The following is a 25,648-nucleotide window of genomic DNA, read 5'->3' on the forward strand; positions in this document are numbered from 1 at the left end:
ACAAGCGATCCACCTGCCTCGGCCTCCCAAAGTGCTGGGATGACAGGCATCAGCCGTCACACGCAGCTCAATGATTTTATTGTGGTAAAATAAACATAGCACAAAATTGATGATTTTAACCATTTTAAAGTGAACAGTTCAGGCTGGGCGTGGTGGCTTATGCTTGTAATCCCAGTACTTTGAGAGGCTGAGGTGGGCAGATCACCTGAGGTCAGGAGTTTGAGACCAGCCTGGCCAACATGATGAAATCCAGTCTCTACTAAAAATACAAAAATTAGCCGGGCATGGTGGCAGGTGCCTGTAATCCCAGCTACTCGGGAGGCTGAGGCAGGAGAATCGCTTGAGCCCGGGAGGTGGAGGTTGCAGTGATCTGAGATCATGCCACTGCACTCCAATCTGTGTGACAGAGCAAGACTCTGTCTTGAAAAATAAATAAATAAAAAAAATTTTAAAAAGTGAACAATTCAGGGCATTTAGTATGAGGACAATGTGGTGCAGGTATCTCTGCTACTATCTACTTCTAGAACACTTTCTTCTGCCCTGAAGGAAACCCCATGCCCACCGGCACTCACGCCCATTCTCCCCTCTCTCCCAGCCTCTGTCAACCACTAATCTACTTTCTGTCTCTGGGGGTTCACTTCTTCTGGACGTTTTGTGTGACTGGAATCCTGCAATATGTGGTCCCTGCGTGTGGCTTCTTTCCATAGCATTGTGTTTTCCAGATTCACCCACACATTGTCGCACGTTATCAGAACCTCATTCCTGACTGGGTGCAGTGGGTTAGGCCTGTAATCCTAACATTCTGGGAGGCCAAGGCGGGACGATCACTTGAGGCAGGAGTTTGAGACCAGCCTGGCCAGCCTAGCAAGACCCCAGCTACCAAAAAATTTTAAAAGTTAACTGAACGTGGTGGTGGTGGGCACTTGTGGTTCCCAGCTACCTGGGAGGCTGAGGTGGGAGGATCGCTTAAGCCCAGGAGGTCAAGGCTGCAGTGAGCTATGATCGCACCACTGCACTCCAGCCTGGACAACAGAGCAAGACCCTGTCTGAAAAAAAAAACAAAAAAAAAAGTTCCTTTCTTTTTGTGGCTGGATGACATCCCATTGTATGGCCACAGCACATTTTGTTTGTCTGTTTATCGGGTGGTGGGCAGTGGTTTCCACCTTTTGTCTCCTGTGAATAATGCTGCTGTGAACATTTGAATTCAAGTTTTTGTTTGAACACCTGTTGTGAATTATTTGGATATATGTGTAGGGGTAGGATTGCTGAGTCCTATGGTAATGTTAGGTTTGACTTACTGAGGAACCATTAAACTGTTTTCAACAGTGGCTGCGCCGTTCTGCATCCCCACCGGCAGTGTGTGAGGGTTCTGACTTTACCTCCTCACAAACGCTTCTTTTCCATTTAAAAAAATATTCAGCCAGGTGCTCTGGCTCACGCCTGTAATCCCAGCACTTTGGGAGGCCGTGGCGGGCGGATCACCTGAGGTCAGGAGTTCGAGACGAGCCTGGCCAACATGGTGTAACCCCATCTCTACCAAAAATATAAAAATTAGCCGGGTGTGGCAGCGGGCGCCTGTAATCCCAGCTACTTGGGAGGCTGAGGCAGGAGAATCACTTGAACCCGGGAGGCAGAGGTTGCAGTGAGCCAAGATCGCGCCACTACACTCCAGCCTGGGTGACAAGAGTGAAACTCCATCTAAAATAAAACAAAAATAAAAATAAATAAAAATTTATTAAAACATTCATCACAGCCAGCCTAGTGGGTGTCCCATGTGGCTTTGCCTCGCATTTCCCTGATAACTAGGATGCTGAGCGTCTTGTCCCAGGCTTGCCACACCTCAGCACTTTGAGATACGTCGCACAGTCCCCATTTGCGAACGAGAAATGAGGTTTAGGGAACAGCAGCTGTGTCATGTCACACAGCGAGCAGGGGGTCTCTGAGCCGTCTGACCCCACAGCCGACCAAGCTCCAATCCTTACCGCCTCCTAGTGTTGTGGATGTAGCCCAGGGTGCTCCCACATTTTTCAGATGAGAACACCGAAGCTCAAAACAGGAGCGTTTTGTCCACATTGGATACACGATGTCTGTGGTTTGGTCCTGAAGTCACTTTATATCTCAGTGGTCCAGACTGGAGTAGGACAGGGGGTTCTGGGGAATGGGGAAGGTGTCTCAGGTGAAAGGAAGGAATTCCAGATTCTCCATACTGTCCTTGGGAAGTTAGAAGACTCAGAGGGTCTGGCAAAGTCAGACAAAGCAAGAGAAATGCAGTCAGGAGGAAGCGGAGCTGTCCAGGAACAGGGGGGTCGCAGGAGCTCACCCCCAGGAACTACACTTGCTGGGGCCTTCGTGTCACAATGACGTGAGCACTGCGTGTTGATTACCCACTTTTTTTTTTTTTTTGAGGTGGAGTCTCGCTCTCTTGCCCAGTCTGGAGTGCAGTGGCACGATCTCGGCTCACTGCAAGCTCTGCCTCCCGGGTTCATGCCATTCTCCTGCCTCAGCCTCCCGCGTAGCTGGGACTACAGGCGCCTGCCACCGCGCCCGGCTAATTTTTGTATTTTTAGTAGAGATGGGATTTCACTACATTAGCCAGGATGGTCTCGATCTCCTGACCTCATGATCCGCCCGTCTCGGCCTCCCAAAGTGCTGGGATTACAGGCGTGAGCCACCGCGCCCGGCCCGATTTCCCACTTTAAGAATCTGTCTGTACATCCTCAAAGCCCTATACACAGTGCTGGGTTGCTATAGGGAATATGAGGCTTACAGGCCATGGTGCTGGACACACAGAAGGGACGGAGGTCAGGAGGTAGAAGGGCGGAGAGAGGGAACAGGCGGAGGTCACATCCTTGGCTTTCAAAATGGGCCAGGGAGAGACACCCTCTGAGCATGGTAGGACAGGAAAGCAAGATTGGAACACATTGAGAGCAACCGAGGTGGCTGGGCGTGGTGGCTTACGCCTGTAATCCCAACACTTTGGAAAGCTGAGGTGGGTGGATTGCTTGAGGCCAGGAGTTCAAGACCAGCCTGGCCAACATGGTGAGACCCCGTCTCTACTAAATATACAAAAATTAGCCAGGCGTGATGGTGCATACCTGTAATCCCAGCTGCTTGGGAGGCTGAGGCAGGAGAATTGCTTAAACCTGGGAGGCGGAGGTTGCAGTGAGCCGAGATCCCGCCACTGCACTCCAGCCTGGGCCACAGAGTGAGACTCCATCTCAAAAAAAAAAAAAAAAAAGATAAAAAGACCAACCGAGGAATTGAAGTGGGGGGGCGTCACAGTAGCAGAAGGGGGATCGTGGAGCAGGCCACCCTGTGGTCATGCACTGGAAGCTCATTACCTGACGATTTGGAGCTCATCACTGGGGGCCTAAGGAGAATAGATACTGAAGGATGAGGAGTGATGGCGCAGGGCACGGGTGTCTTTGGTGGCCAGAACTTGGGGACTGCTGGGGTGCCTCACTGCAGGCCTTCTCAGCGCCCTTTATATGCTTACACAGGCTGTTTCTAAGAGGGGGATACATTGCATAAGCGTTTTCAGACTACCTCATCATGGGTCCCTTTCTTTACCCTCTGTGGCCCTGGTGGCGCACTCTCTGGGAAGGTGCAGGTGGATGCCCAGACCCGCCCTGCCATCCACCTGCACGTCCAGAGCTGACTTAGCCTCGAGATTGCTGCTGGCACCTCCTGCCCCGGGACACCTCGGATGTGCCCGTGGAGATGCTGGCTCTGTGTTTTCTGCTGGAGTTTGGTGCGTCTTTTCCTCCTGCAAGTGGCCACCGCTCTTGGGTATGTCCTCAGGCTTCTGCGAGTCATGGCTGCTTCTCAGGTCCTTGCCCAGCGCCAGGAGCAAACCCTCCTGGCACTTTGTTCAGGGGTGGATGCGCCAGTGTTCCTGCTGTGGACCCCCATCTCACATGAGGGTCTTGGGCCTGCAGGCTCGTTCAGGAAACACCCGCTGAGTACGCAGTGTGTGCCAGCTGTGTCCCAGGCAATGGCGGGGACAGTGGCTGCTGCTGGGGTTGTGGTGGCTTCTGGGGACTCTGGGGACAGCTGAGGTGCAAGGAGCCACGGCTCCTTGAGGATGCAGTTGGACTCCAGGTGGAAGGGATGGTTGGGGGAGGTATAAATGGGGTCAGGGAGGAGACACATTTGGAACAATGGGAACATTTTTAAGATGCTATGTCGGGAGGCAACAAGGTGGCCAACCCAGGTGCTGAGGAGCCCACACCAGCCCTGGACGTGTTTTGCCGCTCACCTTTGCTGGGGAGTGGTGGGAGAGAGGATTCCGTTCCACGTGGTGGTGTGCGCAGCTGGGCTGTGTGGAGCTGGGCGCTAGGAGGAAGGTGCTTTCTGCGGGGCTAGCCGGGCTCTGCCTTTGAACACAATCAGGCTCCAGGTTTTCAGCATCCAGTGCATGAGAGGACTTCACGGGCAGCTGTGGCTGATCCCTTGATGAATTGGGAGAAGAACAAAGGTCTATGAAATGAGGTTTCATGTAGATGGCATTAGAGACGCCCACAACAGATTTACAGAGTGGAGCGGAGACGGCGGATGGGTCTGGGAGGCCCCTCCTGCTGGCCTTGACTGTGACAGCTGTCCTGGGAATCAGCTTCCAGGCCGCCCCAGCAGCCTGACTGACACACACAGGGTTTTAGCCCCATCCTGCGACCAGCTGTTGCCATCATCAGTGACAGCTGGGAGTGGCGGTGGTTCCAGCCCTGGGCACCCTCCCCACCTGCTGGGGCCCACCCAGGGCAGTCCTGACACCTACAGGTTGCTTGGAGCCGCATCCGAGTCCTGCCCCACCACGTGTGAAGCCCGAGTGGTCGTGGGCTGAGGTCCCCTGATTGCATCCCCACTTCCCTTCTGCTTCACATAGCTGCCTCTTCTCACCGTTTTTCCAGCCTCCTGGGCTAGGAATTCCAGTGTTGTGCTGGCTTTGCCCCAGGACACCTCCTTAGCCCTCTTCCTGAGTCTAGAGCCCCGGGGGTTGGAAGTTCTGGCCCCTGGGACACCTGCAGCCACACTCAGCTTCTCCTGTGAGCCTCCAGCATGTCCCCTCAGGACCAAGCCCTCACGTTCTTGCCTCCCCGCCCACCTGGGCTCAGCCAGGGGAAGGCCTGGCTGGGAGCGTCTCCCCTCTGCCCTGCCCTTCTCCCCTCTACCCTGCCCTTCTCTCCTCTGCCCCGCCATGGCTTTTATATCCTGTGCCACAAGACATGGCTGTGTGTGAAAGTGGCAGGGTCTGGCATCTCTGTGGGTCTCTGAGGCCCACGCTCCAGTGCCACTCTTCCCACCCGCTGGCCGTGCCCTCATGCTGGAGGGACAGCCCAGCCCTCTCCCGAACCCCAGCCCCATGTGCCCAGCTGCCCCCGGCCCTCTCCCCTGGAAGCCGGGGTCACTCCAGCCGTATGCCATGGTGGGGACATCCTGCTTCCTTGGCCTTCCAGGGAAGGTCCTCTTTCCAAATGGCGACACCTGGTCCCTGCCTGGAGGCTGGAAGCTGTGGCCCTTGTATGCCCCTCCAGGGTCTGTGCGCTCGGTTGGCCCGAGTTCCCATCACCGTCGTCATCATCACCATCATCATTGTCATTTCGCTTGTCTGTGAGCCGGCCTGGTCTCCCAGAGCAGAGACCCTCTGAGGTCCAGCCTGAGTTGGGGTCTCCGTGCTGACCCCTGACGGGGACTCAGGACGTACCAGGTCTGGGTCAGGAGTGACCCCCAAACCTCGTGCCCTTTGACAGGCACCCCTGACTTTTGCTAAGTGGGTGGAGGTGACATCACTTACAGCGGGAGTGATGGGACAGGGTCTGTTGGCTGCACTGTGCTCCCAGGGATCTGGGGAGAGGCTATATCCCTGGGCTTTGGCACTGCAGAGCTGTGTGTGTTTGTGTGTGTGTGTGTGTGTGTGTGTGTGTGTGTGTGTTTGCGTGCGCGCACATGTGTATAAGATCTTTTTTTATTACATGAAGCAAGATAACTGTTGCTGTTTCCTTTTGGGTTTTGTGTTCAACAGAGTGGGGTACTTCTTCCCTCAGACAACAGAACTCTCCCCTTTAAACACGTGCTGTCAGAGGGTGGGTCTTGGGCTCATGTCTGTTTGCACAGCCGAGTCAGAGGAAACACAGGGTTCTTCATAAAAACACTGCACAGCAGGCGACTGTCCAGAGTCAGCCTGCAGGACGGCAGCAGCCCTGCCCCTCAGAGCACAGCTAGGGTGGGCTGCTTTGGGATCTCCCGTCATTCCCTCCCAGCTGGCAGCCGGCGGCCGGCCCATTCCTTGGTGTGCTGGTCAGGGGGGCGTGCGCCTGCTCTGCTCACCCTGGGAATGGGACAGAAGCTGGCAGCTCGGAGAGGACAGGGCTGGACCCTTGGGTGGCCTCTGGCTGGACCATCTCATTGTCCTCAGACACAGCCTCTCGGGTCTAGTTTCATTTCCTGAAAAACAAGTGCACAGAACTAGAGCAGGAGTCGAGAGCTACGGCCCCCGGGCCAGATCCAGCCCTGCCACCTGTTTTCACACCATGCTCAAGCTGAGTGGGTTTTACATTTTTTAATTACTTGAAAAAAAAAAAGCCAAAGGAGGTTTCATGACCCATGAAAATTATATGGAATTCAAAAAAAAAAAATTATATGGAATTCAAATTTCAGTGTCCATAAATAATTTCTTGAGACAGGGTCTCGCTCTGTCACCCAGGCTGGAGTGCAGTGCTATGGCATGGCTCGCTGTACCCTTGACCTCCCAGGCTCAAGCGATCCTCCTGTCTCAGCCTCCTGAGTAGCGGGGACTACGGGTGTGTGCCACCAAGCCCGGCTAATTTTTTTTTAATTTTAGTAAAGACAGGGTCTTTCTATGTTGCCCAGGCTTTTCTGGAACTCCATCTTGGCCTCCCAAAGTGCTGGGATTACAGGCTCGAGCCACGGAGCCCAGCCTGTTTTTGTTTTTTCACTGATAAAGTTTTGCCGGGTGTGGTAGTGTGTGCCTCTAGCGATTTGGGAGGCTGAGGTGGGAGGATCGCTTAAGCCCAGGAGTTTGAGGCTGGGCTCAAGTGATCAGGAGGTGAACTATGATCATGTCATTGCATTCCAGCCTGGGTGACAGAGCAAGAACCTATCTCTTAAAAATATATATTTAAAAAGTATTGGGTGTGGTGGCTCACGCCTGTGGTCCCAGCTACTTAGGCATCTGAGGTGGGAGGATGGCTTGAGCCCAGGAGTTTGAGGTTGCAGCGAGCCAAGATCGTGTCACTACACTCTAGCCTGGGTGACAGAGCCCAGACCCTGCCTCTTTAAAAAAAAAAACCAAAAAACATGTATTGGAACACAGCCATGCCTGTTCAGTCACGTGCTCTCCATGCTGCTTTCTGCTCCAGAGACCCTTATGGCCTGAAAGCTGAAAATATTTTCTATCCTTTACAAAAAAGTTTGCTGACCTCTGTCCTGGAAAATTCATCTCCCAAGTTCTCTTCCGGCACTGGCGTTCCTGGGTGTCCTAAATTTGGCCCCTGTTATTTCTGAACTCTGTTTTGGCTCTGTTCCCTCCCAGGAGCCAGGACAGGCACGTTCTCTGCATCTTGTCCCCTGACGCCCAGAGGCTTGGCTCGGCTCAGGCATTCTTGGAAATATCTGGCTCCAGGAAAGGCAGAGGCCTCCTGAGTCGGCCCAGAGGGAACCTGCCCCAGGTCTGGGGGAGGCCTGACCCAGCAGAGTGGCTTTTGCCGATGGGTTGGGCCGGTCAAGATGTGCTGAAAGTTGTCCTCAGAAGGCCACTTTGGGATTCCTTCCTCCAGTATTAGAGCAACTGAGAGCTGCTCATTGCAAGCCTGATGTTTTCCCAGTTGGCCGGGTCCACCGGGTGCCCTGGGATTCTGCGATCTGGGTGGAAAGTAGGGGGCTTGGGGGAGTGTCCTGGGTTCTGGAATCCAGGTGGCAAGTGGTGAGGTTCAGGGAGTGGCTTCTGAGCCACCATAGGGGTCTCTGTGGGAGGCTCTGCCCATCCAGGAGATTCCGCAGGCCCTGCCGGCCCAGAGCCAGCGTCTTGCGCTTGCCGAGGCTACAGCCAGCCCCAGCCGGGTGGAACAGCCCGTCGCCTCCTCTCACTTTGTTTTGGGGCCACCTGGGAGTGTGGAGCAAGGGTAGAGAGGGAGGAAGTGGCTGCCGGCCGCTGCCCAGCACCCTTGTTTGCCTTGGGCCCTCTGTGGGCTCCTTTTTATTGCTCTTCAATGAAGCCAGGGAAATGGACTTCCTTGCCTCACTTCAGTTCAACATGTCTGGAAGTTTGGTATTAAAATTAAGAAAGTGTGGAAATAGAGCAAGAAGAGAAAAATCTCTCCAAGAGATAATAGTGACCTCTGAGCTGGGCGCGGTGGCTCACGCCTGTAAATCCCAGTACTTTGGGAGGCTGAGGCGGGCAGATCACCTGAGGTCGGGAGTTTGTGACCGGCCTGACCAAGATGGAGAAACCCCGTCTCTACTAAAAATAAATAAATAAATAAATAAATACAAAATTAGCCAGGCATGGTGGCGCCTGCCTATAATCCCAGCTAAGGCAGGAGAATCGCTTGAACCTGGGAGGCAAAGGTTGCAGTGAGCCAAGATCACGCCATTGCACTCTAGTCTGGGCAACAAGAGTGAAACTCCGTCTCAAAAAAAATAAATAAATAAAAAATAAAAATAATGACCTCTGGCCAGGTGTGGCAGCTCATACCCGTAATCCCAGCACTTTGGAAGGAAGGCCGAGATGGGCAGATTGCTTTAGCACAGGAGTTTGAGACCAGCCTGGCCAACATGGTGGAACCCCATCTCTACAAAAATAGAATAAAATTTAAGAGGTAATAGTGACCTTTTGGTAGATCGAAACCTGGATTGCTTTCTTTTTCTAAATGCTGATTCTTTTCTTTGTGGTGTTTGTGTTCTGTGCCGATGTCCCTCCCCCAGCCCTGTTATTGTGAGTGGAAGAAGGGGAAAGGGTTCGCCCGCTACTGTGAGCCCCTCCTCTCACGCTGGGTGTCCTTGGAGAAGCCTGCACTTCTTCATTGTACGCCAGGGCTGGGTCCCTCCCTGGAGTGGTTCTGTGCTGCTGGGATGGGGCCAACCCCTCAGATGTTTTCTGAGTGTCACACACAGGTGTGTGCATTCATGGCCTTTGCGTGTCTTCCTGTTGTGGAGGCAAAAATGTGAAGAACCCTAGATGATTTTGGGACCAGGGCTCCATCACCTGCTGTTCATTGCACACCGGAGCATCCAGGCATGGGTGGAGAGCTCAGACTTCCAGGCACGGTCGCAGGGGCTGGTCTAACCATGTTCCCGCCCGCCTGCTCATCAGAACCGCCTGTTGGGAGCTGTTATCATGATACCATACCTGGGCCCTGGGCTATCCGATTCTGACTTAATTGCTCCAGGTTGGGGCCAGGCCGTTGTTTGCTGTTTTGTTGTTTCTTCTGTGACGTTAGCCACTGGGCTAATCTGAGCCCCTCAGTTACAGGTGGAGAAACTGAGACCCATGGGGGTGCAAGGACTTGCCGAGGACCCAGAGCCCCTTGGGGGCAGAGCTGAGGCGGGGCCTGGCTTTGGGTCCCAGAGCTTCCAGTCCCCTTCCCGCTCTCCTAACAGCTTTTTTTTTTGAGACAAGATCTCACCCTGTCACCCAGGCTGGAGTGCAATGGCATGATCTCGGCTCACTGCAATCTTCGCTAGCTGCGTTCCAGCGATTCTCCTGCCTCAGCCTCCCGAGCAGCTGGGATTACAGGTGTGTGCCGCCATGCCCAGCTCGTTTTTTTTTGTACTTTTAGTAGAGATAGGGTTTCACCATGTTGGCCAGGCTGATCTCGAACTCCTGACCTCAAATGATCCGCCTGCCTCGGCCTCCCAAAGTGCTAGGATTACAGGCTGGGATCACACTGTGCCTGGCCCTAGCAGCTTTGTCCTGTGCCATCCAACAACAGATGACCGAAGTCTTTGTTTCTTAACATGCATTCCATCTGCCTTACAGTTTTGCCACCTGCAAAACAGAGGACTTGTCGCTTTTCTGGTAAGCTGGAAATGTAATCTGGTAGCAGGAGGCCTGTGGAAGCTTGCCTTTAATGGCCTTGTGTCTCTTTCATCCTGTCCTGAGAGCCGGAGAACTTGGATGTTGCGCCTAACTCAACCTTCCTGTTAACATACAGTTCTGCAGGCTCATGGATCATCAGAACCACGTCCTATCTCACGCGGCTGTATGCTTCCGTTGGTTCAGGTGTTTTTACCTTGACAGTATTTTCTCCTCGGTGGCTTTTGCGGTGGTTGCTTTTAATCAGCATTGACTCTTCAAGAAAAATATTTAGCTGCTACATCTCAGAGGAGACAGGGTGGAAAGCATCTGAGACCTGCAGGCTCAGACTTAGAACCAGAAGTGCCCTCAGAGTTCATCCGGCCCTGACCCAGCGGGAAATGAGTTCACAGAGAAGCGGGAGAACTTTGCCCCAGGCCCTGCCGTTGCTCATAACTGCCCCAGGTCCTTACATTTGCTCCAGGTCCTGCCCCAGGCCCTGCAGTTGCTCATAACTGCCCCAGGTCCTTATATTTGCTCCAGGTCCTGCCCCAGGTCCTGCAGTTGCTCTGTGTGGTGGGTGTGATCTGGAGCCCTCCGCCCATTGCTGCACCTGGGGCAGGCATTGCTAATTGATCCCAGGACTCCTTCCTGCGGAGCACGCCCTGGTTCTCCAGGCAGCCGCTGCCTGTCAGCCTGCAGTGGTTCGGGAGAGGACACCTGCTTGCCTGGTCTGTTCCAAATCTTGCTTCTCATCCCAGCACAGGTAGGGGGTGCTATGGGAAAGGGATCCTCAGCTGGCCCTGTCACTGCTCTATCAGCTGGGGACGTGGCATCCTAGTGAAAACATCATGGCCGGGCGCGGTGGCTCACGCCTGGAATCCCAGCACTTTGGGAGGCTGAGGAGGGTGGATCACTTGAGGTCAGAAGTTCGAGACCAGCCTGGTCAACATGGTGAAACCCATCTCTACTAAAAATACAAAAATTCGCCAGGTGTGGTGGCGGGTACCTGTAATCCGAGCTACTCGGGAGGCTGAGGCAGGAGAATCGCTTGAACCTGGGAGGTGGAGCTTGCAGTGAGCCGAGATCTTGCCACTGCACTCCAGCCTGGGCAACAGAGTGAGACGCTGTCTCAAAATCTCAAACAAACAAACAAACAAAAAACAAACAAACAAAGCGTCATTTATCCAGCACCCCTGGGGAACCATGCTACCTGGTGTTTTATGGTACCTGGCAAGGTGCAGGTAAAGTTGCGGCTCTTGGGCATTGAACCCGTCTTGTTTGGGGCAGCTCAGGCCCCAGGCAGGGTCCGGGTTGGCTCTCGTTGGTGTGGCCCTGGCCCATCCAGACCTATATTTCTGCCGTCCTGCAGGTGATCAATGTTGATGGGACGAAGAGGCGGACCCTCCTGGAGGACAAGCTCCCGCACATTTTTGGGTTCACGCTGCTGGGGGACTTCATCTACTGGACTGACTGGCAGCGCCGCAGCATCGAGCGGGTGCACAAGGTCAAGGCCAGCCGGGACGTCATCATTGACCAGCTGCCCGACCTGATGGGGCTCAAAGCTGTGAATGTGGCCAAGGTCGTCGGTGAGTCCGGGGGGTCCCAAGCCATGGCTCAGCCATGCAGACTTGCATGAGGAGGAAGTGACGGGTCCATGCCTGGGCATAAGTGTTGAGCTCAGGTGCCCCGACCTGGGGAAGGGCAGGACAGGAAAGGTGACAGTATCTGGCCAAGGACAGATGGGAAGGGACCAAGGGAGCTGATTAGGGAGTGGTTATGGACTAGGAATGTCGGTAACAATGGTTAGAAAGTGACTAACATTTGTTGAGCACCTGCTGTGTGCCCGGCCCTGGCCGGGAGCCTTCGTGCCCACAGTGACCCCGTCTGCAAATGTAGTTCCTTGCCCTACTCGCACTGGGGAGCAGGACGCAGAGCCGTGCAACTCACAGGTGCCAAGCTCAGGACTCCCTCCTGGGTCTGCCTGGGCTGGGCTGTGCTTGTTGCCCCTGTGGCCCACGCATGTGCACCTTCCACCTGAAAGCCAGGATCTTCAGGACGCTCCCCGAGGAGGTCGTTGTCTGGCACAATGATTTGTCTCTTCCTGAAAAGGTGACAGAGTTACACTGGAGAGAGCAGCATCCAGGTGCGGCAGGGACAGGCCTGGGGCTCGCGGGCAGGGACTCTGTGTCCTGCCGGGGTCCCACACTGCACCTGCTTGTCAGAGGCACTCAGTCAATCTTTGCTGATGAAGGATGAGAGGACAGAGGACGTGATGCTTGCTGCTGCATTGCCTGCAGTCCTGGGTGAGATGCCCGGGTTGACTCTGCTGCCCGTCGGGTGGATGTGATGTCAGATCCCCGGCTTTAAAATACGAGGGAGCTGGGAATTGAGGGAGCAGGTTGGGGCAGAAAGCACAGCCCCGTGGAAGCCTGGAGCTGAGGCAGTGTGGGCGACCCCTGGAGCAGTGAGTGCTTCCTTCATGGCCTTCATCGCACCCTGCAGTCCTCATGTAGGGGATGCAATCCATGAATTTAGTTTTCCCAGCCTCCTTTAAAAACGCGTTCATGCTGGGGCCGGGGCAGTGCAGTGGCTCACATCTGAAATCCCACCACTTTGGGAGGCCGAGGCGGGTGGATCATGAGGTCAGGAGATCGAGACCATCCTGGCTAACAAGGTGAAACCCCGTCTCTACTAAAAATACAAAAAATTAGCCGGGTGCGGTGGCAGGCGCCTGTAGTCCCAGCTACTCGGGAGGCTGAGGCAGGAGAATGGCGTGAACCCGGGAAGCGGAGCTTGCAGTGAGCCGAGATTGCGCCACTGCAGTCCGCAGTCCGGCCTGGGCGACAGAGCGAGACTCCGTCTCAAAAAAAAAAAAAAAAGTCCAAAAAAAAAAAAATTAGTCTGGGTGTGGTATCACGCGCCTATAATCTCACTACTCGAGAGGCTGAGGCGGAGAATTGCTTGAACCCAGGAGGTAGAGGTTGTAGTGAGCCCGTATCGTACCACTGCCCTCCACCTGGGCAATAGAGCGAGACTCTGTCTCAAAAAGAAAAAAAAAAAAAGAACATTTATGCCAGGTGTGGTGGCTCATGCCTGAAATCCCAGAACTTTGGAAGACTGAGGCAGGAGGATCACTTGAGCCCAGAAATTTGAGAGTGTCTTCCCTGGGCAACATAGAGAGACCTCATCTCTACCAGAAAAAAAAAAATTAGCCCGGCATGGTGGCATATCCCTGTGGTCCCAGCTACTTAGGGGGCTGACGTGGCAGGATCACCTGAGTCTGGAGGCAGAGGTTGAAGTGAGCTGAGATCATGCCACTGCACTCCAGCCTGGGTGACAGACAGAGACCCTGTCTCAAAAAAAAAAAAAAAAAAAAGCATTTACTATCCACCATGGAAGGTGAGACTGACCTGTGAGTGATTGTTCAAAGAACAAAAAATAAACCCCAGAGATAAGACAAAAGGGTGCCTCCATGGGGGTGTGATTTAAAGCTGAGAAATTGGGCTTCTTCCCCCTCCCCTCTCACCCCGTGGTTTGCTAAAGGAGATGGGAAAAAGGATTCTTTTTTTGGCTGAAATATTTAACACTAAATTAAAGCCAATTTTAACAGCACTTTGGTTGATGAGTGAAATTAACAGACTGGCCAAAAATAAACGAACGGTCTGTACTATGTGAAAAAGAGGCAGCTTTGGCCATGCTGGGCCAATGTGAGTTTTCAGGGTTGCTGGGAATGTCTGTGAATCGGAGGAAGGGCCTAGCTGGGACTCTCAGGAGCCAAGGCCCTGAGGGGCAACTTGCCTGGTCCCTGCCCTGAGGCGTTCACTGCTTTCTTCCTGGGCCAGATCGCAGGCCCGGAGGCTGGACCACTGGGCTGGCACTCTTGCCGAGCTGCTCCCTGACTTCCTGACCATGCTCCTTTCAGCAGCCTTGCTGCACTTTAGTTTCCTTGAATGAAAAATGGGGATGAGAATAGCTCCTACCTCCAAGGTGAATGGAGTGAGTTCGGACAGGTGACTCCCTGGGACCAGTGCCTGGCGCCTGACAAGGTCCAGTCAGAGCCCGCACTGCTGTTACTGATACCCTTGGCTGTACCAGGGGAGAACTTGGTTGCCATTGCCAGGTGTTCTCCCACCACCCCCACTACTGTCCCTGTTTGATGTGTGGCGGGAATAAAGCTGTGCACATTGGAGCTTTTGGCACATCCTGGCTTTCAGGTGAAAGGTGCGTGTGTGTTTGAGGGTTTAGCCTGGCCAACCCAGCCATGAGGTCGGACCTGACCCGGGGGTGAGTCCTGAGCTCGGCACCCCTGAGCTGTGTGGCTCACGGCAGCATTCATTGTGTGGCTTGGCCGCACCCCTTTCCCTGCTGGGCTGTTGATGTTTAGACTGGAGCCTCTGTGTTCGCTTCCAGGAACCAACCCGTGTGCGGACAGGAACGGGGGGTGCAGCCACCTGTGCTTCTTCACACCCCACGCAACCCGGTGTGGCTGCCCCATCGGCCTGGAGCTGCTGAGTGACATGAAGACCTGCATCGTGCCTGAGGCCTTCTTGGTCTTCACCAGCAGAGCCGCCATCCACAGGATCTCCCTCGAGACCAATAACAACGACGTGGCCATCCCGCTCACGGGCGTCAAGGAGGCCTCAGCCCTGGACTTTGATGTGTCCAACAACCACATCTACTGGACAGACGTCAGCCTGAAGGTAGCGTGGGCCAGAACGTGCACACAGGCAGCCTTTATGGGAAAACCTTGCCTCTGTTCCTGCCTCAAAGGCTTCAGACACTTTTCTTAAAGCACTATCGTATTTATTGTAACGCAGTTCAAGCTAATCAAATATGAGCAAGCCTATTTAAAAAAAAAAAGATGATTATAATGAGCAAGTCCGGTAGACACACATAAGGGCTTTTGTGAAATGCTTGTGTGAATGTGAAATATTTGTTGTCCGTTGAGCTTGACTTCAGACACCCCACCCACTCCCTTGTCGGTGCCCGTTTGCTCAGCAGACTCTTTCTTCATTTATAGTGCAAATGTAAACATCCAGGACAAATACAGGAAGACTTTTTTTTTTTTTTTTTGAGACAGAGTCTTACTCTGTTGCCCAGGCTGGAGTACCGTAGCGTGAGCTCAGCTCACTGCAACCTCCGCCTCCCAGGTTCAAGCGATTCTTCTGCCTCAGCCTCCTGAGTAGCTGGGACTACAGACATGCACCACCACACCCAGCTAATTTTTTTTATATTTTTAGTAGAGACAGGGTTTCATCATGTTGGCCAGGCTGGTCTTGAACTCCTGACCTCAGGTGATCTGCCCGCCTCGGCCTCCCAAAGTGCTGAGATAACAGGTGTGAGCCACCGTTCCCGGCCTAGGAAAACTTTTTGCCTTCTAAAGAAGAGTTTAGCAAACTAGTCTGTGGGCTGGCCTTCTGATTCTGTAAAGAAAGTTTGATTGGTGGCTGGGTGCGGTGGCTCACACCTGTAATCCCAGCACTTTGGGAGGCCGAGGTGGGCAGATCACCTGAGGTCGGGAGTTCGAGACCAGCCTCACCCACGTGGAGAAACCCCGTCTCTACTAAAAATACAAAAAAAAAAATTAACCGGGCATGGCGGCGCCTGCCTGTAATCGCAGCTACTCAGGAGGCTGAAGCAGGAGAATTGCTTGAACCTGGGAGGCGGAGGTTGTGGTGAGCTGAGATGGCACCATTGCACTCCAGCCTGGGCAACCAAAGTGAAACTCCGTCTCAGAAAAAAAAAAGTTTGATTGGTGTAACCAAAGCGCATCTGTTTATGGATTGTCTGTGGCAGCTTTTGTTCTGCCGAGATGAGTTGTGACAGATCTGTATGGGCTCTAAAGCCTAAAACATGTGCCATCCGCCCCTTTACAGAAAAAGTGTGCTGACCTCTGTTCTAAAGTATTGGACAACTACAATGTTTGCTCATTTATTATTCTATGATTTGTTTTCTGCTTTTTGTTGTTGTTGTTGTTGTTGAGATAGGGTTTCCCTCTGTCACTCAGGCTGGAGTGCAGTGGTGTAATCTCAGCTCACTGCAGCCTCGACCTCCTGGGCTCTAGTGATCCTCTCATCTCAGCCTCCCTAGTAGCTGGGACTACAGGCACACACCACCACTCCTGGCTGATTTTTTTTTTTTTTTTTTTTTTTTTGGGGAGACAGGGTTTCCGCATGTTGCCCAGGCTGGTTTCAAACTCCTAGGCTCAAACACCCACCTCAGCCTCCCAAAGTGCTGGGATTACAGGCGTGAGCCACCATGCCCAGCCTATTCTACTGTTTGTATTACATAGCTTTAAAAGATTTTTTATGACTTTAAGTCACAAGGGTTCTTTGTAGAAAAAAAAATATATATAGGAAAGTATAAAAAGAAAGTAAAAATTGTCCATAACCTCTCCAGCCAGAGACGACCGTTGCTGACACCTCAGCATATTGCCTTTAAGTCTTTTTTCTCTAAGATAGCATTTCTCTTCATCACAGTCATATGCTACGCAGAATTCTGTATCCTGATTTTTTCACTTGACATTACAACAGGTATTTGATGGCGCTGTGACAAACTCTTTGGCACAATCTTTTAAATGTATGAAATACTCCACTGCACAGATGTTTGCTTTTAGGCTTAACTGTTCTTTTATTTTGCGTGTGCTGGTTACAGCCGGGCACAGTGGCTCATGCCTGTAATCACAACACTTTGAGAGGGTGAGGCAGGAGGATCACTTGAGCCCAGAAGTTTGAGACCGGCCTGGGCAACATAGTGAGACCCCATCTCTACAAAAAACTTTTTTAATAAGTCGGGCGTAGTGGTGCATAGCTGTAGTCCCAGCCACCAAGGAGGCTGAGTTGGGAGGATTGCTTGAGCCCCAGGAGGTTGATGCTGCAGTGACCTGAGATTACTCCACTGTACTCCAACCTGAGCGACAGAGCAAGACTTATCTGGGGAAAAAAAAAAAAAAAAAAAAAAATATATATATATATATATATATACACACACATACACGCACACACACATAATATAAAAATATATATTTATAAATATATAATATATAATATAAAAATATATATTTATAAATAAAATTTATAAATTATATTTATAAGTAAATATATAATATATAATATAAAATATATATTATATAATATATAATAAAATATATAATATAAAAATATATATTTATAAATAATATATAATACATACTTATAAGTATATATTTAAAATATATGTAATGTATATTTTTTAATGTATGATATATAATATACATTTATAAATACACATTTATATTATTTTATATAAAATATATATAAAATCTCCAAGTTGCTTTTTCCAAAAAGGTGTCTTGCTGCATTTCAAACATTCATTTAAAAACTTGAATGCTGGTGATCTGGTCCAGAATGTGTTCAGTAGCTGCTGCCAGTGGCCAAGCATCTCGGGAGATGTCTACAAAACACGCTGGTTCTGGCCTGGCGTGGTGGCTCACGCCTGTAATCTCAGCACTTTGGGAGGCTGAGGCAGGTGGATCAACTGAGGTCTGGATTTCGAGACCAGCCTTGCCAGCTTGGTGAAACCCCATCTCTACTAAGAATACAAAAAAATTAGCCAGGCGTGGTGGCATGTGCCTGTAATCCCCACCTACTTGGGAGGCTAAGGCTGGAGAATCGCTTGAACCCAGGGGGCAGAGGTTGCAGTGAGCCGAGATCGCACCATTGCACTCCAGGCTGGGCAAGAAGAGCGAAACTCCGTCTCAAAAAAAAAAAAAAAGATGCTGGTTCCTAAAATGTGGCCCTTTTCCTCCTCACCTGCTGCCAGACCATCAGCCGCGCCTTCATGAACGGGAGCTCGGTGGAGCACGTGGTGGAGTTTGGCCTTGACTACCCCGAGGGCATGGCCGTTGACTGGATGGGCAAGAACCTCTACTGGGCCGACACTGGGACCAACAGAATCGAAGTGGCGCGGCTGGACGGGCAGTTCCGGCAAGTCCTCGTGTGGAGGGACTTGGACAACCCGAGGTCGCTGGCCCTGGATCCCACCAAGGGGTAAGTGTTTGCCTGTCCCGTGCGTCCTTGTGTTCACCTCGTATGAGACAGTGCGGGGGTGCCAACTGGGCAAGGTGGCAGGCTGTCCGTGTGGCCCTCGGTGATTAGAGCTGTACTGACGTCATTAGCCTTGATGGTGGCCAGGACTGGTAGGGCCCTCAGAGGTCATGGAGTTCCTTCGTGGAGCGGGTGCTGAGGCTGTATCAGGCACAGTGCTGGCTGCTTTCACCTGGGCCGTCTCACCGAAGTGTCCATGGAGCCTGCGTAGGGTGGGTATCTGTGTCGATTTTACAGATGCAGAAACAGGCTCAGAGAAACCGAGTGACTTCCCTAAGGTCACATACCCAGTTAGAGCAGAGCTGGGCCAGGAAGTGCTGTCTCAGGCTCCTGACCAGGTCTCCTTGCTTTGCACTCTTGCCAAAACCATGATCCAGAACTGACTTTGAGGTCCCCGGACCTCAGGCTCCTCCGAAATGGCCTCTTGGAGGCTGCTGAGCCACAGCTTAGGACCCACCTCGAGAGGCAAATGTGCTTTGAGCTGCCAGGCGTCCTGGGGGCCCTGCCTTGGGCACGGGGTTCAGACAGGCCCCAGATGTGTGGGGCGTCTTTCTGGACTTGAGTTTTCTTTTCTGTGTGGTGGACACAGTGCTCACCCCTTAAAGCACCTGTGATGTGTGCAGCAGCCCAATCCCTGCCTGTCGCCTGTTCTGCTAGGGAAGGAAGGAAGACTTCAGGATGGCAGGACAACAGAAAGAGGTCCAGGTTTTAGAGCAAGGGCAGGTCAAACTTAGAAAATTCTGGAATGAGGATGTGCATTTCCTCTTCTGGATCTGCTAAAAGAAGAGGGAAGGAGGGGCTGCTGGGGGAGGAGCCCAGAGCCGAGTTTACATCCGGATCCCGCAAGGCCTCCCCTGCCCTGAGGTCTTGTTTTGTGATGTGCTTGTGTCCATCCTGGTTTCTGCCGTGTCCCCAACATCCGGCCAAGCTTAGGTGGATGTTCCAGCACACACTCACCCTGTCTGTGCATCTGTTTTTGTGTCCGTAAGTGGGTATTTACTCGCCTTACGAGTGAGCCACTGTGGGAATTCAGGGAGGTGGCGCAGTGACCACCCCTGGAGGGATATGTGTGTGGCAGGGGTCGAGGGTCTCGCCCTTCCCTGCTTCCTGCGCGTGGCTTTCTCCAGGACGGGGAGGGCTGAGCTGAAGAGGTGGGGACAGTTGCGTCCCCCCGCCACCCACTGTCCTGCGGTGAGAGCAGACTCACTGAGCCTGCCCTTCTCCCTTGTGCCTTCCAGCTACATCTACTGGACCGAGTGGGGCGGCAAGCCGAGGATCGTGCGGGCCTTCATGGACGGGACCAACTGCATGACGCTGGTGGACAAGGTGGGCCGGGCCAACGACCTCACCATTGACTACGCTGACCAGCGCCTCTACTGGACCGACCTGGACACCAACATGATCGAGTCGTCCAACATGCTGGGTGAGGGCCGGGCTGGGGCCTTCTGGTCATGGAGGGCGGGGCAGCCGGGCGTTGGCCACCTCCCAGCCTCGCCGCACATACCCTGTGGCCTGCAAGTTCCCCAACCTGGCAGGAGCTGTGGCCACACCCACGACTGCCCAGCAGCCTCACCCTCTGCTGTGGGAGTTGTCCCCGTCCACCCCTGGGTGCCTTTGCTGCAGTTATGTCGGGAGAGGCTCTGGTGACAGCTGTTTCCTGTGCACCTGCTGGGCACTAGGTCCCAGCTAATCCCTGTGCCAGGACTCTAATTTCACCCTAACACACATGGTGGTTTTCATTGCTGGGGAAGCTGAGGCCTGAGCACATGACTTGCCTTAGGTCACATAGCTGGTGAGTTCAGGATCCCCCAGAGATACCAGGGCCAGCACTCGATCCCCACCCAGCCCTGAACCCCACCATGTGCTGGGATTGTGCTGGGAGTGTCCACACGCCCGGGACCCCAGGGCTGGTGCTCTCATCTCCTTTTTCCAGATCATGAGAATGAGGCTCAGGGAAGTTTGAAAAAAACCTATCCCAAGTCACACAGCAACAGGAGCAGGATTTGAACCCAGAAAAGGGGACCGCACACTCTGTTCTGCTAGAGTAGTTAGCTGTCCTGGGTGATATGGCAGGTGACAGGGGCAACTGTGCTTAACAAAGGAACCCCCATCCCCCCTGCCAAGTTGGGAGACTAGAAGGTCAGGGGCAGAAGCTCTGAAGGGCCAGGTGCAGTGGCTGACACCTCTAATCCCAGCACTTTGTGAGGCCAAGGCGGGCAGATGATTTGAGCCCAGGAGTTCAAGATCAGCCTGGGTAATGTAGTGAGACGCCATCTCTACAAAAAAATTTTTTAAAAATTAGCTGGGCATGGTGGTTCATGCCTGTAGTCCAAGCTACTTGGGAGGCTCAGGTGGGAGGATTGCTTGAGCCCAGGAGGTTGAGGTTGTGGTGAGCTGTGATCATGCCACTGCACTCCAGCCTGGGCAATAGAGTGAGACCGTCTCCAAAAAAAAAAAAAGAAGAAGAAAAAGAAGCTCTGAGGCTCCAAGTCCCCAGGCACCCCTTGGCTTGAGGGCAGACAAGGGAGGAGAGGGTCACCTGGGCAGCCCTGACTTTTGTCCCCTGGCAAAGGGACCTTCAGTGACCTTGGCCCTAGGAGAGCCTCTGAGCACGTCAGCCATGTCGAACCGCTCAGGAAGGGCAGCAAGAATTTGGCTTCTGACCTCTGCCTCTCCTACTCGCCATCTGCACTGGGTGTGGTTGTGCCCATTTTACAGATGAGGAGGCTGGGGCATCGACCAGCTGAATGCCTTGTCCCAGGTACTGCGTAGGCAGAGCTGGCAGTTGAACCCCGTGTCCTGGTTGTCGCTGGGGGTGGGCTGCACCCTGACTTGTGAGGCCAGTAGCAAGGTTTGCACGTGACTTCGTGACCGTCACCCAGCTCTGCAGCACATCCCGTGACCCAGCTCATCCAGGCCGCATGCAAACCTGTTGCCAGGCGAGAAACCAGTCACCGCACAGCTGTGGTTGCCTGAAATGATTAAGCTCATTAATCACCCCGGAGTGAGGACAGACTCAGATGAAAACCAGCAAAAGCCCTGGAAACTCATGTGACCCTGCCAATGAGGGCGGCCATGTGCATTGCAGCCTGGCCGTCACTCCTCGGTACGTGTTTTGGACTTAAACGCTCCGGATGTTTACTGAGTGCTTGATTAATAACATGGAAGGCCTGGTCTCATTGCTGTGGGAGTGAAGGATGCACAGCCAGGCCTGACATGATGAGAACAAGAACCTGGAGTCTCGCTGCCTGGGTGGTAATCCTGGCCCTGCCACTTAGCAACTGTGTGACTGTAGCCAGGTCACTTAATTTTGCTAGATCCTGCCTGCGCTTCAGTGGATCTTGCTGGTTTTCCAAGGTGGCCAAACACTTTAAGGCATTCATGTGGTCGCTAGGCTGCAGGGTTGAACCCTGGCTCACCCCGCAGGGCGCCGTGTGCTCTGTGGCCTGGCTGTGCCTTTGCTGACACCGTGCCCGTGTGTGTTCATGCAGGTCAGGAGCGGGTCGTGATTGCCGACGATCTCCCGCACCCGTTCGGTCTGACGCAGTACAGCGATTATATCTACTGGACAGACTGGAATCTGCACAGCATTGAGCGGGCCGACAAGACTAGCGGCCGGAACCGCACCCTCATCCAGGGCCACCTGGACTTCGTGATGGACATCCTGGTGTTCCACTCCTCCCGCCAGGATGGCCTCAATGACTGTATGCACAACAACGGGCAGTGTGGGCAGCTGTGCCTTGCCATCCCCGGCGGCCACCGCTGCGGCTGCGCCTCACACTACACCCTGGACCCCAGCAGCCGCAACTGCAGCCGTAAGTGCCTCATGGTCCCCCGCACCTCACTCCCTCGTTAGATCAGGCTGGTTCTGGGAGCTGACGCTGAAAGGAGCTTCTCATCTGGGGTTCCTGGGTGTACATAGATGGTTGGGTAGGTTGTGCACTGCACAAGCTGCATGATGCTACCTGGGGGTCCAGGTCCAGGCTGGATGGACTTGTTGCTTCATCAGGACATAGATAAATGGCCAAAACTCCTCAGCTGGAAGGTCCTGGGCAGGATCTTTGGGTGTGAAAACCAGTCACAGGGGAAGGGTGCTTGCTCATACTGCCAGCACAGTGCTGAGTGCTTTCCATAGCGCTCGTTTACTCCTCAAGCCTGGAGGGTGGGGAGTAGCATGGTCCCATTTCACGTACAAGGAACCCGATGCACAGAGAGGTGTGGCAACCCATCCAAGGCCATACAACTGGGGTGGGTTGAGCCGGGGTTGACTGTGGCAGGCTGGCTCAAGAGTCCCTGCTCCTGAACCCTTGCCAGGCAGCCTGGCATCAGCTCGGGGAATTTTTGCCCTGACCCTTGGAAGCAGGTGGGCCTCTTTGTTCTCATGTCAGTGATGAGAAGAGTGACTTTCCTATGGCCCCTCTGGAGTACAGGTGTTTCCTGTTGGCGGGCTCTTCCCCCATGACATCAGCAGCGAGCTGGTTATGATTCCCTACGCAGAACTTGATAGTTTATAAAGCTCTTTGTCATCCAGGCCCCGTTGGAGTCTCACGCAGACCTGGTCGCAGGCGGGGCTGGTCTTGCCTGTCCCAGCTGCATGGATGGGGAACTTGAGGCTTGCAAAGGTTAAGGGGCTGTTCGAGGCCCAGGCTGGCAGGAGATGGGCCTGGGCCAGAGTCTGGGACTTCCCATGCCTGGGCTGTCTTTGGTCCTGTTGCTCACCATCCCTCCCTGGGGCCATGACCTTAGAGAGCCAAATGGAGGTGCAGGTAACCCACGGCAAGGAGGGGTTGCCATGACTCAGAGTCCCCGTCCTGTGGCCGGCAGTACCTGGTGCAACGACTTGGATTTCAGACCAGCCACTGTAGCCCGCTGACGGTGCGCTCGAAGTGCCACAGCTTCTGAAGCCAGGCAGGACTCAGGCCAGGAGACTCTGTTAGCTGTTGAGAGGGAGAGGCCAACGGATGTTCTGGTTCTGCTAGAGAGCTGGTTCTTCGGATCCTGGTACCAGTGCACTGAGAGGAGGCCCAGCTTGATTCTGGGGCTGCCTTGTGGTGGCATGTGCTGCTCACTGACACCCTCGAGGAGTGTCTTCTCTCGGGCTTGTTGACTGTGCCCGGTTTTCCGCAGTTCACTGGTGCACACATAGGCACATAGCAAACCGCACACACAGTCGTGGGTATGAGTTTCACTACATTCCACCACCAGTGTTCACTACCATTACCTGCCTTCCGTCTTAAGTGTTCATCATTTAAAAATAAATTTATTGGGCTGGACACGGTGGCTCATGACTGTTATCCCAGCACTTTGGGAGGCTGAGGCGGGCAGATCACCTGAGGTCAGGAGTTCAAGACCAGCCTGGCCAATATGGTGAAACTCCATCTCTACTAAAAATACAAAATTAGCCGGGCATGGTGGGGCATGCCTATAATCCCAGCTACTTGGGAGGCTGAGAGAGGAGAATCGCTTGAACTTGGGAGGTGGAAGTTTCAAGTGAGCTCATTTTGTGCCACTGCACTCCAGCCTGGGCAACAAGAGCGAAACTCCATCTCGAATGAATGAATGAATGAATGAATGAATGGCAGGGCGTAGTGGCTCACACCTGTAATCCCAGCACTTTGGGAGGCCAAGGCGGGCGGATGACAAGGTCAGGAGATCGAGACCATCCTGGCTAACACGGTGAAACCCGTCTCTACTAAAAATACAAAAAATGAGCCAGGCGTGGTGACGGGCGCCTGTAGTCCCAGCTACTCAGGAGGCTGAGGCAGGAGAATGGCGTGAACCCGAGAGGCAGAGCTTACAGTGAGCCCAGATAGCACCACTGCAGTCCAGCGTGGGCAACAGTGCGAGACTCCATCTCAAAAAAAAAATAAATAAATAAAAGAAAAATAAATTTATGATCTATTTCAAAAATAACACATGTACTTTGAAACAGCAGAGACACATATGACACGGAGAATGAAATTCCCCATAGCGCACCCCCAAGAGACAGCCCTGGTCCCCCCGTCTTTCCCGTGGACCTCCAGCGGGGCAGATGCTGAGCCGCCTGTTGTCGAGTGGCGTGCTATCCCGTCCTCCAGCTCCTCTGTGGCTTACAGACACCCACCTGCAGCCCTGTCTTTGCCTCCTCTAGCGCCCACCACCTTCTTGCTGTTCAGCCAGAAATCTGCCATCAGTCGGATGATCCCGGACGACCAGCACAGCCCGGATCTCATCCTGCCCCTGCATGGACTGAGGAACGTCAAAGCCATCGACTATGACCCACTGGACAAGTTCATCTACTGGGTGGATGGGCGCCAGAACATCAAGCGAGCCAAGGACGACGGGACCCAGGCAGGTGCCCTGTGGGAAGGGTGCGGGGTGTGCTTCCCAAGGCGCTCCTCTTGCTGGTTTCCAGGCTGCTGCCCCTGTCCTTAGCAGAGGGAGGAAACAGAGGATGGCTCTGGGTGAATGATGACTTGGGCTTCGATTATGTAGTCACAGGGTATGACCCTGAGATGCGTGGAACCCCGAGACTGTGATTATATGTAGAAACTGGGTTTCCCCGTTGTTTAAGTAGTCATGGTGGGGTCAGACCCCACAGGACTTTTGTCTTTTCAAGAAAGAAAATGGTCGTGTGTCATGCAGGGGTAGTTGGTACTGGTTAATCCAGGTTTATCCTTTATTTTGTGGGAACTGTACAGTCATTTCTGCTACAATGCTGTATATGCTCTTCTGAAAGACACCTATGCAAAATCGCACAGTAAAAATGACACAACTCATAGGGAAAGCGGGGCCAGGGCACAGCCCTCAAAATCTCCATCAATGACATGTAAGAAAAGAGAGGAACCTGGGAAATAGCAAAGTGCCTTTTGCACATTAAATGGTTAGCTATATCCCACAATACTGTGCATTCGTAAACGTTAATGCTGCAATAAATACGGCACTTCACCTTGGGAAGATCTGGAGTTGGCTTATGAGTGTGGAAGGGTGTAGCGCATGAGTTTTTGTGAAACACTGGAAGGAGGATTGTGGGAAATCAAATGGAAAGTTCTCACCCCAGGCGTGGAGAAGAGTGGGTCATGGCCCCAGCAGTGAGCCCAGGGAGGTCAGAGACGGAGGTGTGTGTGTGGGTGTGACCCTGCGCAGTTCCCTGCCGGCTGTAGTTTTTTGCATTCACTTAATGTTTCTCGTGGAGGAAATTGTGCATGAGCAAATGTGAAACCGTGCTGTGCTCAAATTGTCCTAATACATCATTGCATTGGAACAGATTGGCTTTTTTTTTTTTTTTTTTTTTTTTTTTTTTGAGATGGAGTCTCACTCTGTCACCAGCCTGGAGTGCAGTGGCATGATCTTGGCTCACTGCAACCTTTGCCTCCTATGTTCAAGTGATTTTCCTGCCTCAGCCTCCTGAGTAACTGGGATTACAGGCATGAGCCACCGCGGCCGGCCAGATTTGCATTTTTGAAACAACTGCTAGGCTGGGCGCGGTGGCTCACACCTGTAATCCCAGCACTGTGGGAGGCCGAGGCAGGTGGATCACCTGAGGTCAGGG

General features: G+C 53.1%; 1 protein-coding gene across 12 annotated transcripts in view, besides 3 other annotated features; it reads left to right on the plus strand.

Annotated features, from left to right (window-relative positions):
• Positions 1–25,648, plus strand: part of LRP5 (LDL receptor related protein 5) — a 150,864-nt gene that overhangs the window by 93,669 nt on the left and 31,547 nt on the right. For 8 of the 12 annotated variants that reach the window (XM_011545031.2, XM_011545029.2, XM_011545030.2 and 5 more), the window contains exons 8-13: positions 11,403–11,619; positions 14,444–14,733; positions 17,834–18,060; positions 19,356–19,540; positions 21,609–21,932; positions 24,248–24,447. In XM_011545031.2, coding sequence (XP_011543333.1) covers positions 11,403–11,619; positions 14,444–14,733; positions 17,834–18,060; positions 19,356–19,540; positions 21,609–21,932; positions 24,248–24,447 — 1,443 coding nt within the window. Of the gene's footprint in view, positions 1–11,402; positions 11,620–12,142; positions 12,337–14,443; positions 14,734–17,833; positions 18,061–19,355; positions 19,541–20,999; positions 21,224–21,608; positions 21,933–24,247; positions 24,448–25,648 lie in introns of those variants that run through there. The other 4 variants (NM_001291902.2, XR_001747874.2, XM_017017735.2 and 1 more) reach the window with 4 other exon arrangements.
• Positions 4,953–5,452: an enhancer, noted in NCBI's record as "H3K4me1 hESC enhancer chr11:68164501-68165000 (GRCh37/hg19 assembly coordinates)". NCBI's record gives its function as "activates a minimal SCP1, AML or CMV promoter by ChIP-STARR-seq in primed H9 embryonic stem cells {active_cell/tissue: H9 hESC(primed)}" and the evidence as "EXISTENCE:reporter gene assay evidence [ECO:0000049][PMID:30033119]".
• Positions 21,017–21,176: an enhancer, noted in NCBI's record as "active region_5139". NCBI's record gives its function as "activates an Ori minimal core promoter by ATAC-STARR-seq in GM12878 lymphoblastoid cells {active_cell/tissue: GM12878}" and the evidence as "EXISTENCE:reporter gene assay evidence [ECO:0000049][PMID:35858748]".
• Positions 25,485–25,554: a silencer, noted in NCBI's record as "silent region_3671". NCBI's record gives its function as "represses an Ori minimal core promoter by ATAC-STARR-seq in GM12878 lymphoblastoid cells {active_cell/tissue: GM12878}" and the evidence as "EXISTENCE:reporter gene assay evidence [ECO:0000049][PMID:35858748]".

The sequence above is a fragment of the Homo sapiens genome, chromosome 11, assembly GCF_000001405.40.
Source record: "Homo sapiens chromosome 11, GRCh38.p14 Primary Assembly".
NCBI classification, from domain to species: Eukaryota; Metazoa; Chordata; class Mammalia; order Primates; family Hominidae; genus Homo; species Homo sapiens.